This window comes from Homo sapiens, chromosome 20 (assembly GCF_000001405.40).
Source record: "Homo sapiens chromosome 20, GRCh38.p14 Primary Assembly".
NCBI lineage: Eukaryota > Metazoa > Chordata > Mammalia > Primates > Hominidae > Homo > Homo sapiens.
This window is the reverse complement of record NC_000020.11, coordinates 40,597,108-40,613,697: the sequence shown is the minus strand read 5'-3', so window position 1 is coordinate 40,613,697 and position 16,590 is coordinate 40,597,108. Positions and strand designations below refer to the sequence as shown.

General features: G+C 39.7%; 1 long non-coding RNA gene across 2 annotated transcripts in view; it reads left to right on the top strand.

Annotated features, from left to right (window-relative positions):
• LOC102724968 (uncharacterized) overlaps nt 1-16,590 on the top strand; it is a 75,521-nt gene that overhangs the window by 30,393 nt on the left and 28,538 nt on the right. For both annotated transcript variants that reach the window (XR_001754596.2, XR_001754597.1), the window contains 2 exons: nt 8,154-8,238; nt 15,760-15,850. This is a non-coding gene — a long non-coding RNA (uncharacterized LOC102724968). The remainder of the gene's footprint in view (nt 1-8,153; nt 8,239-15,759; nt 15,851-16,590) is intronic.

Sequence of the window (16,590 nt, the reverse complement as noted above, 5' to 3'; positions counted from 1 at the left end):
CAATGTTTACATCTTGATGGAGGTTTGGGTACATAGATGTAAGCATTTGTCAAAACTCAGCCAATATATAGTTAAGATTTTTGTCTTTCATTGTGTGTAAATTTTACCACAAAAACCTGTAAACAAATACTGAACTGCAGTTAATGATATGTATTCTGAAATATTTAAGAGGATATGTACTGATATATATATATACACACACACACACATATACACATACATGTGTATATATATACATAATTTAAAGTGTATAAAAATCTCAAGATGGATTGAGATAAAGGAATTAAGGTGTCAATGAGATAATCTGTGTAAGTGCTCACTATAAAATTCTTTCAACTTTTTTGTATACCTGAAACTTTATTATAACATATTGGAAAGAAACCAAAATCAGATCTGAAACTTCAACTTAGAAATATAAAAAAAGAATGAATAGAAAGACAACTATATATCTAGTTGGAAAGATTGTATATTGCAAAGATATTAATTAGTCCCTCATTCATTCATACATTTAACATGGTTTGGAATTTTGATTTTGAAAGTGATTCTGAATTTCATTAGACAAAACAAGCATTGCCTCCTGCAACAGAAGTAAAAATGTCATTCTTATGTATTTGACATATATACTACTGTAGTTGAAACAATATGGCATTATACAACAATTAAAATATGATGTCATGAAATAGAAGGGATAGTCTTGAATTGCATGCTAGAATACCTATAAGCTTAATAGAAGATAAAAGAAATGTTAATTATTTGGAAAGGGGTGAATTTTTTAATGAGTGTTGGAATAAAATAAAATGAGAACCTTACCTCACATTATCTCCTAAATTAAATTATAAATGGATTAAAGAGTTACTTTTTAAAATACAGGCAGTTATTGCTTTGGGCAGTTATGATATACACAAATTTTACTTAACACAGCATAGTGAAAAGTTAAGATTGCCAGTATGAAATACTAGAATAATATATAATAAATATTTAATTGAGTTTCAGATGATGAAAGATATTTTAAGCCTCAGAGCAATAGAAGAGATCTTAAGGATAAGAATAATATATTTGGCCACTGAAAAAAAAATCCATATCTTTAAAAATATTATAAGCAACAGTAAAAGAAAAATGTCCAAATTGGAAAAGTACTTACAATATATACGGCAGAATGGTTACTGTCCTTAATACGTGCAGAGATTTTAAAAAATCACCATATAAAAAAGAAAACCAGAGAAAAAGTGCCCATAAGACTTGCACATATAATTTGCTGAGGCATCAAAAGATAATACATTTGTAAAAATATCTCATTATTATCAAAAACTTTACATTAAAAATGAAAGATACTTTTTTTTTTTTACATTCACAAAGATGAAAAAAAAAAAAACCTTCGCTGAGATAGTTTTGTTAAGTTTGTGTTTCCCTTGGAGATGAAGTCTCGCTCTCTCACCCAGGCTGGAGTGCAGTGGGGTGATCTCGGCTCACTGCAATCTCCACCTGCTGGGTTCAAGCGATTCTCCCACCTCAGCCTCCCAAGTAGCTGGGATTACAGGCACCTGCCACCACACCTGGCTAATGTTTGTATTTTTAGTAGAGATGGGGTTTCACCATGTTGGTCAGGCTGGTCTCAAACTCCTGACTTCAGGTAATCCACCCCCCATTGGCCTCCCAGAGTGCTGGGATTTACAGGTGTGAGCCACTGCACCCAGCCAGTGTTTTCCTTGTTTTACCGTTAAGGGTGGTGCTGGGGTGAGCATCCTATACATCTTGGATAACCTCTGATTATTTCCTCAAGATAATTATGCATGTAGATGGTGTTTTCTTCTATTGATGTTGTTTTATTCCTTAAATTGCTTGGTAAGCATGTAAGGGTTTGTTAATATAAATATATTTTAAGATGTTCAAAATGGCATCCAATACATTAAAAGGATTTTGAATGGAAGAAACAGAGAAAATGCATGAAAAATATAAATAATGGCTGTCACTGGAGGTATGATTATAGATGATTTCTCTTTTCTTCCTTATAGTTTTTCTTAATTTTCTAAAAATTGAGGAAGAATCATTTAAAAAACAAAGAAGACACTCAGTTTATGTATTTGACATGGCTTTTATATCAGCACCTGTATGGTGCCTGGGAGGTACTTGGTACCCAGTACACTTAGTAAAGCAGCTTCATTGAGATATAATTTACATATCATAAAATTCATTCATTTAAAGAGTACAATTCAATGGTTTTTAGTATAGTTACAGATATGTTCAGCTATCATTACAGTCAATTTTAGAATATATTCCTCACTTCACAAAGAAACTCTGCATCCTTTATCAATCACTCCCCTACCCCGCTATCTTCCCCAGCCCTAAGCAAGCACTAATCTACTTCCTATCTCTATAGATTTACCTATTCTGGCCATTACATTTAAGTATAATTATATAATACGTGATATTTTGTGACTGTCTTCTTTCATGTACTTTAACTTTTTCAAAGTTCATCTATGTGGTAGGATATATCAACATTTCATTCATTGTGGCTGAATTTTATTCCAGTGTATGGATATACCATATATTGTCTATAATAAGTTGATTTATATTAATATTTGGGTTATTTCTACTTTTTGACTAATTAATTCATAATATAATTTATTATTATGAGTAATTACATAAACACTTGTGTGAAAGTTTTTTATGTGACGTATGTATTCATTTTTCTTGGTTATCTACTGTGAGTGAAATTGCTGGGTCATATGGTAACTCTGTGTTGAACTTTTTGAGGAACTTTCAGGCTGTTTCCCAAAGCGGTTTCACCATTTTATATTCCATCAGCAGTGTATGAGAGTTGCAATTTCTGCATAGCTCCAACACTGATGTTTTGTTCTTTCTGATTTTGTTGCTATCTAGGCAATCCTATCTAGGCAATTTTGTTGTCGTGAAGTGGTATCCCATTGTGGTTTTGATTTGCATTTCCCTGCTTAATGGTTGAGCATCTTTTTATGTGTTTATTGGCTATTTGTATATCTTCTTTGGATAAAGGCCAATCCAAATCCTTTGCCTATCTTTAAATTGGGTTATTTGTCTTTTTATTACCCAGTTTTAAGAGCTCTTTACATGTTCTAGAACAAGTCTCTCATCAGAGACAGCATTTGAATATATCTTCTTTCATTCTGTGGGTTGCCTTTTCATTTTTGTTTCTTTTCTTTTTCTTAAATTTTATTTTTTATTATACTTTAAGTTCTGGGGTACATGTGCAGAACATGCAGTTTTGTTTTAAATTTTACTTTAAGTTCTGGGATACGTGTGCAGAACGTGGAGGTTTGTTACGTAGGTATACGTGTGCCATGGTGGTTTGTTGCACCTATTGACCCATCCTCTAAGTTCCCTCCCCTTATCTCCCACCCCCTAATAGGCCCTGGTGTGTGCTGTTCCCCTCCTTGTGTCCATGTGTTCTCATTGTTCAACTCCCATTTATGAGTGAGAACATGCGGTGTTTGGTTTTCTGTTCCTGTGTTAGTTTGCTGAGGATGATGGCTTCCAGCTTCATCTACATCCCTGCAAAGGACATGATCTCATTCCTTTTTATGGCAATGTAGTATTCCATGGTGTATATGTACCACATTTTCTTTATCCAGTCTATAATTGATGGGCATTTGGGAAAACTTTGTTTTCTTCAAGATGATTTTGACTATTCTGAGACCTTTGAAATTACATATGAATTTTATAATCAGTTTCAATTTCTACAAAGAAGCAAGCTGGGATTCTGATAGGGATTGTGTTAAATTTGTAGATCAATTTGAGGAATATTGCCATCTTAACAATATTAAGTTTCCCAATCCATGAACCTCGAATGTTTTTAGAGTTTTATAGGTCTTTTTAAATTTCTTTCAACAACGTTTTGAAGTTTTCAGAGTTAAGTTTTATATTTTTTGTTAAATTACTTTCTATTTTACTACTTTGTTTTTTTTAAATTTTATTATTATTATACTTTAAGTTTTAGGGTACATGTGCACAATGTGCAGGTTAGTTACATATGTATACATGTGCCATGTTGGTGTGCTGCACCCATTAACTCGTCATTTAGCATTAGGTATACCTCCTAATGCTATCCCTCCCCCTCCCCCCACCCCACAACCCTCCCCCAACCCCACAACAGTCCCCAGAGTGTGATGTTCCCCTTCCTGTGTCCATGTGTTCTCATTGTTCAATTCCCACTATGAGTGAGAATATGTGGTGTTTGGTTTTCTGTTCTTGCTATAGTTTACTGAGAATGATGATTTCCAATTTCATCCATGTCCCTACAAAGGACATGAACTCATCATTTTTTATGGCTGCATAGTATTCCATGGTGTATATGTGCCACATTTGCTTAATCCAGTCTATCATTGTTGGACATTTGGGTTGATTCCAAGTCTTTGCTTTTGTGAATAGTGCCACAATAAACATAAGTGTGCATGTGTCTTTATAGCAGCATGATTTATAGTCCTTTGGGTATATACCCAGTAATGGGATGGCTGGGTCAAATGGTATTTCCAGTTCTAGATCCCTGAGGAATTGCCACACTGACTTCCACAATGGTTGAACTAGTTTACAGTCCCACCAACCATTGCATATTAAATTATTTTCTTAACTTTATTTTTAGATTTCTCATTGCAAGTGTATAGAAATACAGTTGATTTTTGTAGATTGATCTTGTATCCTGCAACCTTGTTGAATTCATTTATTAGTTCTATTTTTTAGTGGATTCCTTCGGATTTTATATATATGAGATCATGTCACATAAAAATAGAGATAGTTTTACTTCTTTCTTTCCAAGCTGAATGTCTGTATTTCTTTTTCTTTTTCAATTGCCTGCGACAGAACCTCCAGAACAATGCTGAATTGAAGTGTTAAGGGCAGACATCCTTGTCATGTTCCTGATCTTAGGGAGAAAGCATCTCCTTAGGGAGAAAGTTTCTCACCACTGAGTATGACGTAGCTATGGGTTTCTCATAGATGCTCTTTATCAGGTTGAGGAAGTTCTCTTCTATCCCTAGTTTGTTGAGTGTTTTTATTAAAAAAAGAGTGTTGGATTTTGTCAAAAGTTTTTTTCTGCATCTATTGGAATGATCATGTGATTTTTTATTTTTATTTTTTTACTCCTTTGTTTTTGCTTTCTATTCTATTGATGATTACATTAGTTGATTTTTAGATGCTATCACTACACTTTTGCTGAGTGTGTCCTGGGCTAATTAGGTACATTTGGAATTGAAATTGAACCCACAATGTGGTCTGAGGGGTACAGGCTGTGTGTAGCAGTTTTTGGAGGGCAAATGCCCTATCTGAATCCCTAATAGACCTTTCCTTGCTCTGTTTTTGGTGCCGATGCAGTGCCCTGAACTAGTCAAGTCCAAACTCACACCTCCAGCCAGGTAGACGTGTTTCAGGTTAATTAGGGGCCTCAGTCAATTTAGTTCATGGGCTGTAATTACAAGCACCTAAGACCTGCAATTTCTGTTTTAATTAAAATAAACAATGTGGAGGGGCTGACATCACACCAGGGCAACTGGTGTGCAAGGAATAGGTAATTACACCAAAGCGGAGTCTCTTGCTGTGAGGCAGGCTGTTGGGATCCACAGTGGAAGCTGGGCTTGGCCATCCTGGTGAATGCTAATTATTTGCTGCCAACCACAGCTCAAAACAGATGGGTGGGTGGGTCATGGCGATGACATTCGAACATGCTTACTTCAAGTTGGGACTTAGCTGTGATCTTTGGGGCATGTGTGTGTATGAGAGTGTGTGGGTATTTACATGTGCGATGTCCCTTTAAATGTATTTAACATATAATATACTTCTATGTATAAGTGCAATAGGATGAAAAAATTCTGATTTCAACTGCAGTATTAGGGATCCTCTTGGGGAGGAAGTTACCCTTGCTTAGGAAATTAACACCTCTCTCAGCTTTAGAGGCCAGAAATTAACATTTATCACCTGGAGAGGGTAAGACATATCTTAACTGCTCAGTCTGAGAAATTGCAGGAATTTCCGGATGGGGTAGAGCAGAGAAAAGGAAAATAATAAAAAAAGAATGAAAATAAGCAGTCTGGGAACATGGTAGAAGGGGAAAGTCTAGAAAGAAGGTAGCCAGGGTGGGTCAAGGATGCATCAAAATGAGATATTTAATGCTTAATTTAAAATTGTTTGCATTCTATGATGTCAACTCAGTCTGACATTACAAACCTTTAGTAAAGTCATCGACACACAAAAATGTCTTGTGTGAGTGAATTTTTTTGGGGGGAGGGGGTAAAGATCAAGGAAGAATATTTTAATTCTGCATTTGAGCAGAAGTGCAGGAGATCATAGGTAAGAGGGAAAGAAAGGGAGCTAGGAGTGACAAAATAGTGAAAGCCTCTGGGACTTTTCAGAAACCTCGAGCAGGGAGTGGATTTGCCACAGGCCATGAGAGAGTCCACATTTATTTCAGGAAATAGATCTCATCATGGCACTCTGCCACCAGAGACCTTCCAATGGCTCCTTGGTGCCACCAAGATGTAGTATCAGCTTATTTAGATGGTGTAGTAGGCTGAAAATGCCCCCGAAAGATAATTGTTCCTAATCCCTGTAAATATTCCTTTATTTTTTCTTTTGGAAAAAGACTGTTTGCAGATGTGATTAAGTTGAGGATTTTAAGGTGGGTAGATTATCCTGGCTTATACAGGTGTGCCCTAAATACCATCACATGTCTCTTTATAAGAGGGAGACAGAAGGAGGTTTTACCACACACAGACTGAGAAGCAAAGTGATCACGGGGGCAGATACTGGAACAATGCAACTGAGATCAAGGGAAGCTGGCAGCCCCCAGAAGCTGGAAAAGGCAAGGAACAGATTCTCCTCTAGAGCCTCCAGAGGGAGCACAGCCCTGCCAACACCTTGATATTGGCCCACTGAAACTCGTTTTGGATTTCTGGCCTCTAAAGCTGAGAAATAATAAATGTTTGTTGTTTTAGGCTGCCAAGTTCAGGAAACTAATACAGATGGCTTCACTAGACCTTCAGGACCTGGCCTCTGCCTTCTTTCTATCCCCACTGCCTGATGTTCATGGGTCTTCATCTCTGGTCCACACACCTGTATGTGCTGATCTCCCCACACTCTTCTGGTCTCCACTGATCCTGAGAGGTGTGGCGTGCTAGACCAATTTGCAGATAAGGAAACAGTGTGCAGGCAGGATGATACCCCTTACACAACTGCTAAGCTGGTCTCTTGAGTCTGCACCCTTTCCCTGGCACAATTTCAGGCAGAGACAGTGCTTTCTTGCTCAGTCACCCTGGCTAAGGCTATGTGTTAAGGCAGATTGGGAAATCCCAGCTGCCTCACCTATGACCTTGCCAGGTGCACCAGTTTGATACCTTCGTGGGCACAGTGGAATAAGCGCAGGTTTTGGTGTAGGATGGAGCTGCTCCAGGATCCTGTCTTTGCTGCTTATGTGCCCTGTGACCTTGTGTCAATTACTTAAACATTTTGAACCTCAGTTCTCTTATCTGTAAAATGGGTCTTATAAAAGTGACTATTGATGGTTGTTGATGTCTTTAATTTATATTTATGTAGCACTCACTCTATGTGGAAAAGCCAAAGTCCCCTCCTTTGTCACGGCGCGTTTGCTTAGGTATTGAGAGAGGAAAATAAGACCTGGAGCAGGTATCCTCTCCCCTGGCCCCTCCACATTGTCTGAGGCTCCTTTTTCCCAGGTGGCTATAACTGGCTTCCTTACTCAGCCTAAGGGAAATCTCTGAGAGGACAGTTTTGGGCCAAGAGTTGACAAATGGGCAGAGCGAGGGACTGAGCATGCATTTGGGAGTGGAAGCAGCCTTGATCTTCCACTCATGCCATAACCCAGACTTTCAACAGCTGGGAGGGAGCCATAACTTCGGTAGAAAATAAAGTTTCTAAGTACAACAGGCAAATGGGTATAATGAGTGAGGTCTGGATACCTTTTCCGGACCCACAGTGCATAACCAGGGGCTCTCAAGAGAGGAAACAGACATGATTCTGCTACGCATGCTCACGTGTAAAAGCATTTACACACAAATGCACAGACCTGCCCAGGGAGCTGCCACATACACAGACACACATGGGCCACACAAGTGTCTATGTATACTCACTCATGCTTTGTATTTCTATTGCATTTGTGCTTGTTATTTCAGAGCCATAGTTTGTCTTCCACAACTGGAGGTTTGAAAAGAAGGATGAGGACACTGAATCTCAGAGACGTCAAGTTCTTTCATCGAGGTAACACAGCTTTCATATAGCAGAATTAAGCTTGGAGCCCAAGGTTCCTAAATGTCTCTACTAAATATCTCCACCAAATTAGGCTGCCTTTCTAAACACACCCACACACACACACACACACTCTTTCACCTATTTTATACAACACAGTATCATGGTGGGACTGTCTGAGCATAGACTGCAGTCAAATCCTAGCTCTGCTGCTTTTTCATTATGTGACCTTGAGCTAAGTCACTTCACCTTTCAAAGTCTCAGTTTTCTCATCTGTAAAATGGAGATAATAAGAGAATATATTTCATAGGGTTGTAGTGAGCATTAAAGGTGATAGATAAAGAATGTAAAGTTCATGGTGCCTTGCCTATCACATAGTAAGTGCTCAATAAATATTTGTTATTTCTAGTACATACCAAGCATCTTTCTAGGCACTGGGGATCCCCAGCGAGTCAAGTACCTTGTGTTAGGGTGATTACTGAAAAGTTATTTTTAATGTGACTTAAAAGGAAAGGCAATAAACCATCCAGCAGGTCCTAGTTCTGGAAGCCAGATGAAAGGAAGCTTAGAACAAAGGCTTATGGTGGCGCTAAAATTCCCACCAGGGTCTGCTATCTGGGGACCCTTTTCTATCCACCTCCTCAACCTATAGACCTGTGCATGGTTCAGTTCAAGGTCCTGGGTCTGGGCAGGCCTGGAGAGATGAGCCCTATGGCACACAGGGCAGTTTCCTCATGAGCACTTGGGACAGGGGGGCCAGTCCTTGATCATCTCATCCCAGAGATCTGCACACGCAAGCTGCTACAAGTTTGTAGAGGACAGGAGACAGCAGCGCCCCAGACGCTTCTGCGGTTTGTCTGGGCAGAATGTCTCCCTTGCCTGGGTTGGGCTGGGCTGTCTGCTCCCTGGGGCTGCCTCGGGGTCTGAGAAGCCAGGATCTGCTGTGGGGCAGTCTGTTTCCAGCCTGTCCTGCATGCCAACCTCCAGCCCCAAGCCCCAGTAGGATTATTATTGCTCACAGTGACAATTTGAGCCCCTTTTACACTCATGGCTGAAGAGGGGTTTATGATAGCCCTACCTTATTGTGTTGTCATGAGAATTAAGTGAGGCAATGCATGAAATGCACCAATTTTGGCATATTATAGGCACCCCATAAACGTAGCAGCAGTCACTGTTGTTGTTACCATCACTGTTACTATCCCTGTCACATCATCATCAACATTATCATCATTGGATCCTTAAGGCAGGCTGGCCTGGGATTAGAACCAGTCACTAACCATGTGACGTTAGGCGAGTAACATCTCTGTGCCTCAGTTTCCCGTAATGCAAACTGGTTGCTCTTTTTGAAGCCTTCTCCCTCCAGCCCTGTTCAGGATCTCTTGCTGAATGATTCTAATAGCCAGCCCTGTGGGAAGTGGAAAGTGACCTTACTTTTTTGAACCTCAGCAATAATGGGACAAATATAATAAGTCACTCATAGTGCAATTGATAGAATTAAAAAGGACAATCAATGTAAATTGCCTTGCTCAGTGCCTAGCGCGCAGTAGATGCTCATAAATGTCTGCAGCTTGGTCAAGAGGCCTGCCTTTCATGATCATTCACAGCAAGGAGCCGGGAAGGTAAGTGTTTTGGCCCATGCACTGTGGAAATGGAAACAGAAGCAGAAAGATTTCTTGTTTTCACCTGGTCCAGTCACCACTGGCCTTTGATGACATGTGGGTCCACAAAGCTCAGCTGAACTTCTGGCAGTTTTCCTCAGTGTCTTTTGTGAGCAACTCCTCAAGTTATCTCCTAAATGCTGGTACTTTTCAGAATTTCATTCATTGTCATTTCTTCTTTGCACTAGGGCATTTCTTCCATTTGCAAAACTCACTTACTCCTCTGTCTGGGTCACCCGCAAGTCATCTACTGCCCTGAGTTTCCTGTTGAACTCTGGATCTAAATATCCAGCAAACTACTGAAAATCTGTACTTGGATGTACTGGAGGAAACTTGAATCCAGCGGTCCCAAACCTGACTCATCATTTTCTCAAACCTGCTCTGTCTTCTGCCTTTCATGTCTCAGTGATAGCACTACCATCCACAAAGTTGTCTAATCTGTATATCATCCTACACTCCTTCATCTCTCATATTACATACACTCTGTTTATCCTTCCCTTCATCCTTCTTTTCTTCCCCCTTCCCTCTCTCCGTCCCTTCCCTCCTCCCTCCCTTCCCTCATTCCCTCCTTCCCTCCCTTCCCTTTCCTTCCCTTTGCTTCCCTTCCCTTCCCTTCCCTTCCCTTTCCTTCCCTTCCCTTCCCTTCCCTTCCCTTCCCTTCCCTTCCCTTTCCTTCTTGCCTGCCTTCCTGCCTTCCTGCCTCTCAACAAGTATTTGAGGTATACTGAATGTCTGCTATGTGTCAGTCACTGTTCTAGTAGTTGGGCTAATAGGTCACTAAATCCTCTTAATATTACCCATAAATAACCAAGAATTGTATCAGCCAGTTTCTCGGTTGCAAATGACAGAATACAAAACTAGGAAGAAAAGTAATTTAGCAAAATATGTCAAGTAGCCCCCATAGTTGATGGAGGAGACGGAGAAACTGGCTTGAGGCCAAGCTTCTAAGAACATCCGAAACCACGTAGCAGCTCTAGCTTAATGTTGAGACTTTGATTGCTGTTGCTGAAGCTGCCACTGAATACTAGATGCCAGAAAACTGACTTTATTGCAATGTTACCAGCATTAATGTCACTTCTGGGTTGGCAATTTGGCTTGGCAAACATGCTGCCCTGAAAGCTGGTGACTTGGTTGTTTCCTACACCAGCAAAACTGTGCGTGAGCTCCAAATAGACCAATTCCTCAAATTGACCACTTCCCAACTGGAGTGTCTAGTTGATGAAGGCTGGTTATGTGCTCATGGCATAGCAGCAAATGAGTCTGGAAATCACTTGAGTTCTGATTTCTACATCAGAAAATTTCCAGTGGAACTCATTATGTTCTATTTCCCCCAAATTGCAAAAGGCTGTTAAAAAGATAATGAAAAAAAAGCTGGGCTTTGTGGACCTGTAATCTCAGCTACTTGGGAGGGTGAAGTGGGAGGATCTCCTGTTCAAGAGGGGCCTGGGCAACACAGTGAGGCCCCCATCTCTACAAAAAATTTAAAAAATTTGCTAGAAGTGGTGGTGCAGGTCTGTGGTCCCAGCTACTTGGGGGACTGGTGCAGGGGGATCACTTGAGCCCAGGAGTTTGAGGCTGCAGTGAGCTGTGATCATGCCACTGTACTCAGCCTGGGCAACAGAGCAAGACCCTCTCTCTAAAACAACAAACAAATAAAAACATTAATGGGCAGCCACACATGTAAAATAATAAATATCAGCCATAGAAATCTATCTCCTATCCTCCGTCATCACTGCTGATGCCCCAGGCCCATCTTGAGATCTCTCACCCTGGTCTGTGTCTGGTCCAGTCCTCACTCTGGCTGCTGGAGCATTTTAATCTAAAACACAGTATTTTTTGTTTTTTTTTTTTTGAGACGGAGTCTCACTCTGTCACCCAGGCTGGAGTGTAGTGGCCTGATCTCAGCTCACTGCAAGCTCCGCCTCCTGGGTTCACGCCATTCTCCTGTCTTAGTAGCTGGGACTACAGGCGCCTGCTGCCACGTCCAGCTAATTTTTTTTTAATTTTTATTTTTAGTAGAGATGGGGTTTCACCTTGTTAGCCAGGATGGTCTCGATCTCCTGACCTCGTGATCCGCCTGCCTCGGCCTCCCAAAGTGCTGGGATTACAGGGGTGAGCCACGGTGCCCGGCCTAAAACACAGTTCTAACACTGGCTGCTCAGCATTCTTCTGTGCCACCCCATTGTCTTAGTACTTCAGTCACCCACTGTGGTCTGTCAGCCTTATCCTCTGCCACTACACTTTCTGCCTCCCCCTACTTCCACTCTTCCAGAAGAAATAAAGAGGGGAAAACCATGACAGTCATTGGATGACAGTTTCTCAGTGGCATTTTGAGGATGACATGGTGACTCCTCTCATGGATCCAACATAACTTAGAGTCTTAGAGGAGGGTGGGGAAGATTTTGTTGACTGAGGGCACATACAGAGCCTGCCTGTGGCTGTCTTGGTAACATTTTAAGTAACGACTTTCAGATGTTTCCACTGGACCAGAAATCTCATCACTGGGGCTCACATGTCTGGGTACAGCAACTCTGTGTATGTTCCTATAAATAGTAACCTATTGAGAAGGGCCCCTTATGCCTAAGACTTTGAAAACAGGAGTGTTTCTGTATCTGTCTTCATCTTTTTGCTTCCTTCTCTCTCTGGCCTCTCTCAACTTCTTAATTCCCAAGCTGGGGCCCAGCCCTCACCCCTCCTCCCCTGCCTTAACCTGATGCAATTGCACCTGACAAAGCCAACAGGGCAGTGAGCCATGAGAGAACTGGTGGGGAGAGGGATTAGGGGGAGAGCTCATCACCCAGTGAGCACGGGCCACCAAGCTTAAGTAGAACAGGATGAATAATTGTTTCAGGACCAAAGTCATGACTACAGGGTGTGATCTCACCCTTCATAACAGCAGACTCAGAGAAGCAGGGGAATTTTCAAAGAAAACCTTTCCTGGTGTTAAAAAGAGGGAGAATCTGAGGTTAGAAGCAGCCATGTGCAAACTTTTCATTCTGCTAGGAGTGACTGGTCTCAGATTGACTAGGGGCCAGAGAAGACAGCCACACTGGTCAACCAGGCTCTTCAGATTGGCCTCCAACCCCACCCAGCCCTGCCCAATCCTTGACCCACCCTGACATGTACAGGAAGTGCGTTAGGAACCTTAGCCCCACCCTGGGTGGGGTTCAGAGTTTTCTCTCTTACTTGGAGCCCCAGGCCTGATGTGTGTGTGTGTTTCTTGGATGCTCATGTCCTTCATGGTTTAGCCTATGTGCACACCTTCCCTTCAGTTTCCCTACCCAGCTCTCTTTTGGCTGAGGCCTATGATAGCATTTGTCTGATCCAGCTGGGGTGCTGACATTCTCTCCAGTCCCTGACTGGGCTGTCCTTCAAGTTAAAGATACCCCACTTGCCCATGATATTGACATTCCCAGGGGTGGACTTGAAGTACCACCTCTGCAAATAACAATACAAGCACATTATTAGTAACAATCATTTATGTACTGATAATTACTCAAGTGTACACAGAGAAATTTTCCCATGCTTTGAAAGCCATATATTCGCTGATTAAGACTACCTAAATTCTAATCCTGGATTGCTTATTAGTGGGGAACGTTGGTTACATTATTTCACATTCTTCCATGAGCCTCTGTTTTCTCCTCTGTAAAATGGGCATGATGTTAGTGTGCGTAGATCAGAGGGCTGTTGAGAGGATTGAATAAGATGGTACACATAAAGGGCTTAGCAGAGTTCCTGGGAGATAGTAAATAATAATAATAAAACCAATAGCTTTCATTATTTGTTTTTTTTTAAATTATTTTATTAATAATTAAGGTATAATTATCACATGACAAAATGCACTCATTTTAAATGACCAATACAATAAATTTTGACAAATGGATATACTCATTAACACACTAACTACAATCATAATCAATATATGGAACATTTCCATCTCTCCTAAATGTCTCCTTGTGATACTTCCCAGGGACTCCCTCCCTATTCCCCACCCCTATCTCCCACCACTGGACCCAGGCAACCACTGATTTTTCTTCTATTACTTTAGATTAAACTTAGTCTTTCTAGAACTTATAAATAAAATCATATAGATTTATTCTTTTGTATTCTGGCTCATTTTGCTCAGTAAGGTGTTTTTCAGATTTATACTTGTGATGGCATGTATCAGTACAGTATTTTGCTTCTTTTTATTGCTGAGTATGATGCTATTAATATGGATGATACAAAAACTTGTGTGTCTGTTCACCAGTTGATGGGAATTTGTGTGGTTTCCAGTGTTTGGTTACTATGAATAAATTTGTGCTAAACATTTGCACACAAGTGTTTGTATGGGCATCTGTGTTCATTTCTCATGGGTAAATAGGTACAAGTAAGATTACTAGGTTATATAGTAGACATATGTTTAACATTGTAAGAAACTGCCTGAATTTTTTCCAAAGTGGTTGTACTGTTTTGTATTTCTCACCACAGCGTATGAGAGTTCCAGTTGCTCCACCTACTTGTCAACGCTTTTTGTTGTCAGTCTTTTTAATTTTAGTCATCCTAATTGACATACCATATGATCTCATTTTGCTTTTTACTTCCAATCCCTGATTACTAATGATTTTTTAATGTGAACTTTGACAGTTTGTGTATCTTGAGAAACATTTTGCCTACTTACAAAATTTAGGCTGTTCTTTTTACTATTGAGTTGGAAGAGTTCTTTAAATACTCTGGATATAAGTCTCTTGTCAAGCATATGTGTTGTAAATATTTTTTCCCATATGTAGCCTGTTATGTTAATGGTGCCTTTTAAAGAGAAGACATTTTTGCATTTTGATGAAGACCAATTTATCATTTTTTTACAATGGGTCCTTTTTTCAGGTTCTATATAAGAAATATTTGCCTATCCCAATCTTGTAAAGATCTTCTGTTACTTTTAGAACATTTACAGTCTTAACTCTTAAAGTTAAGTCTGTGATCAATTATTTGAATTAATTATTATCTGTTGCATGAGGTAGAGGACAAGATTCTTCTTTTTTATATTTACTTATTCTTTATGCATATGTATGTTCAGTTATTCCAACACCATTTGTAGAAACAGTTATCCCTGTCCCATTGGATGACTTGGCATATTTGTCTAAAACCAAAGGGACCGTATATGTGTGAGTTTATTTCTGTACTCTCTGTTGTGTTTCATTGATCTGTATGCCTATTCTTTTTTTTTCTTAGCAAGATGGAGTCTTGCTATGTTGCCCAGGCTGGTCGCAAACTCCTGGGCTCAAGTGACGCTTCCACTTCAGCCTCTTGAGTAGCTGGGATTACAGACCTGTGCTACTGCACCCAGCTTTTCTATTCTTATGCCAATACCACTGCCTAGATTCCAGTAGCTTTACTGGAAGTCTTGAAACCAGGTGTTGAAAGTCCTCAAAATGTTCTTCTTTTGCAAAATTGTTTTGGCTCTTCTAGGGCCTTTGTTTTTTTACACACATTTTAGAATCAATTTTTCAATTTACTTTTAAAAGTCTGCTGGAGTTTTGATTGGGATTACCCTAAAATTATAGGTTAGTTAGGAATAAATTTATATTTTAACAATCTTGAGTCTTCCAACCCATGAATACAGTATATACTTTCACTTATTTAAATCTTCTAAAATTTTCTTTTAGCTATGCCTTATAATTTTGATTGTGTAGTTTTTATATATATTTTGTTAAATTTATCCCTAAGTATTTCATGGTTTTAAAATGTATGTATAAATATTTTGTAAATAATATTTTAAATTTCAATTTTTAATGGTCTGTTGCTAGTATTTAGAAATGCAACTGATTTCTGTATTTTGACTTTGTATGCTGTGATCTTGCTAAACTTACTTGCAGTTCTACCTGCATTTTTGCAGATTCCATAGAATGTTCCCTGTTTCTTCATCTATGACATGGGGATAATGTGAGTATACCTACATCAGAGGGCTGCGATGAAGACTAAATAAGGTAACACACCCAAAGAATGTGTGCATATTCCTGGTGCATTTTAAATTATAGTTAACAAAACAAATGGTAGCATCTTTTTTTAAAAATCAACTTTTATTTTAGATATAGAGGATACATGTGTAGATTTGTTATCTGGGGATATTGTGGGATGCTGAGGTTTGGAGTACAAATCTCGTCACCCAGGTAGTGAGCAGAGTATCCAATAAATACTTATAAAAATTCCCCATCCCCCCTGCTCCCTCCACCCTCTAGTAGTCCACAATGTCTATTGTTCTCATATTTATAATATGTCTGTATGTGCTTAATGTTTAGCTTCCACTTATAAGTGAGGACATGTGGTATTTGGTTTTCTGTTCCTGCATTAATTTGCTTAATATTATAGCCTCCAACTTCATGTTGCTGCAAAAAACATGATTTCATTCCTTTTTATGGCTGCCTGGTATTCCTGGAGTATATGTACCATATTTTCTTTATCCAGTTTATCATTGATGGGCATCTGGGTTGATTCCATGTCTTTGCTCAAGTAGTACCATCTTTAATACAGGTGAAATTTATCTATGCTGTAAGAAGTAAGGATGGGGTTATTCTTGGGAGGAAATAGTAACCAGAAGGTATAGTCGGGGTGTAGTGCTGAGAATTCTGTTTCTTGAATTGGGTGCTGCTTCCACAGGTGTGTTCAATTTGTCCAAAACAGTGAGCTATGCACTTATGCATTTTCTGGTATGTTCATTATACTTCAA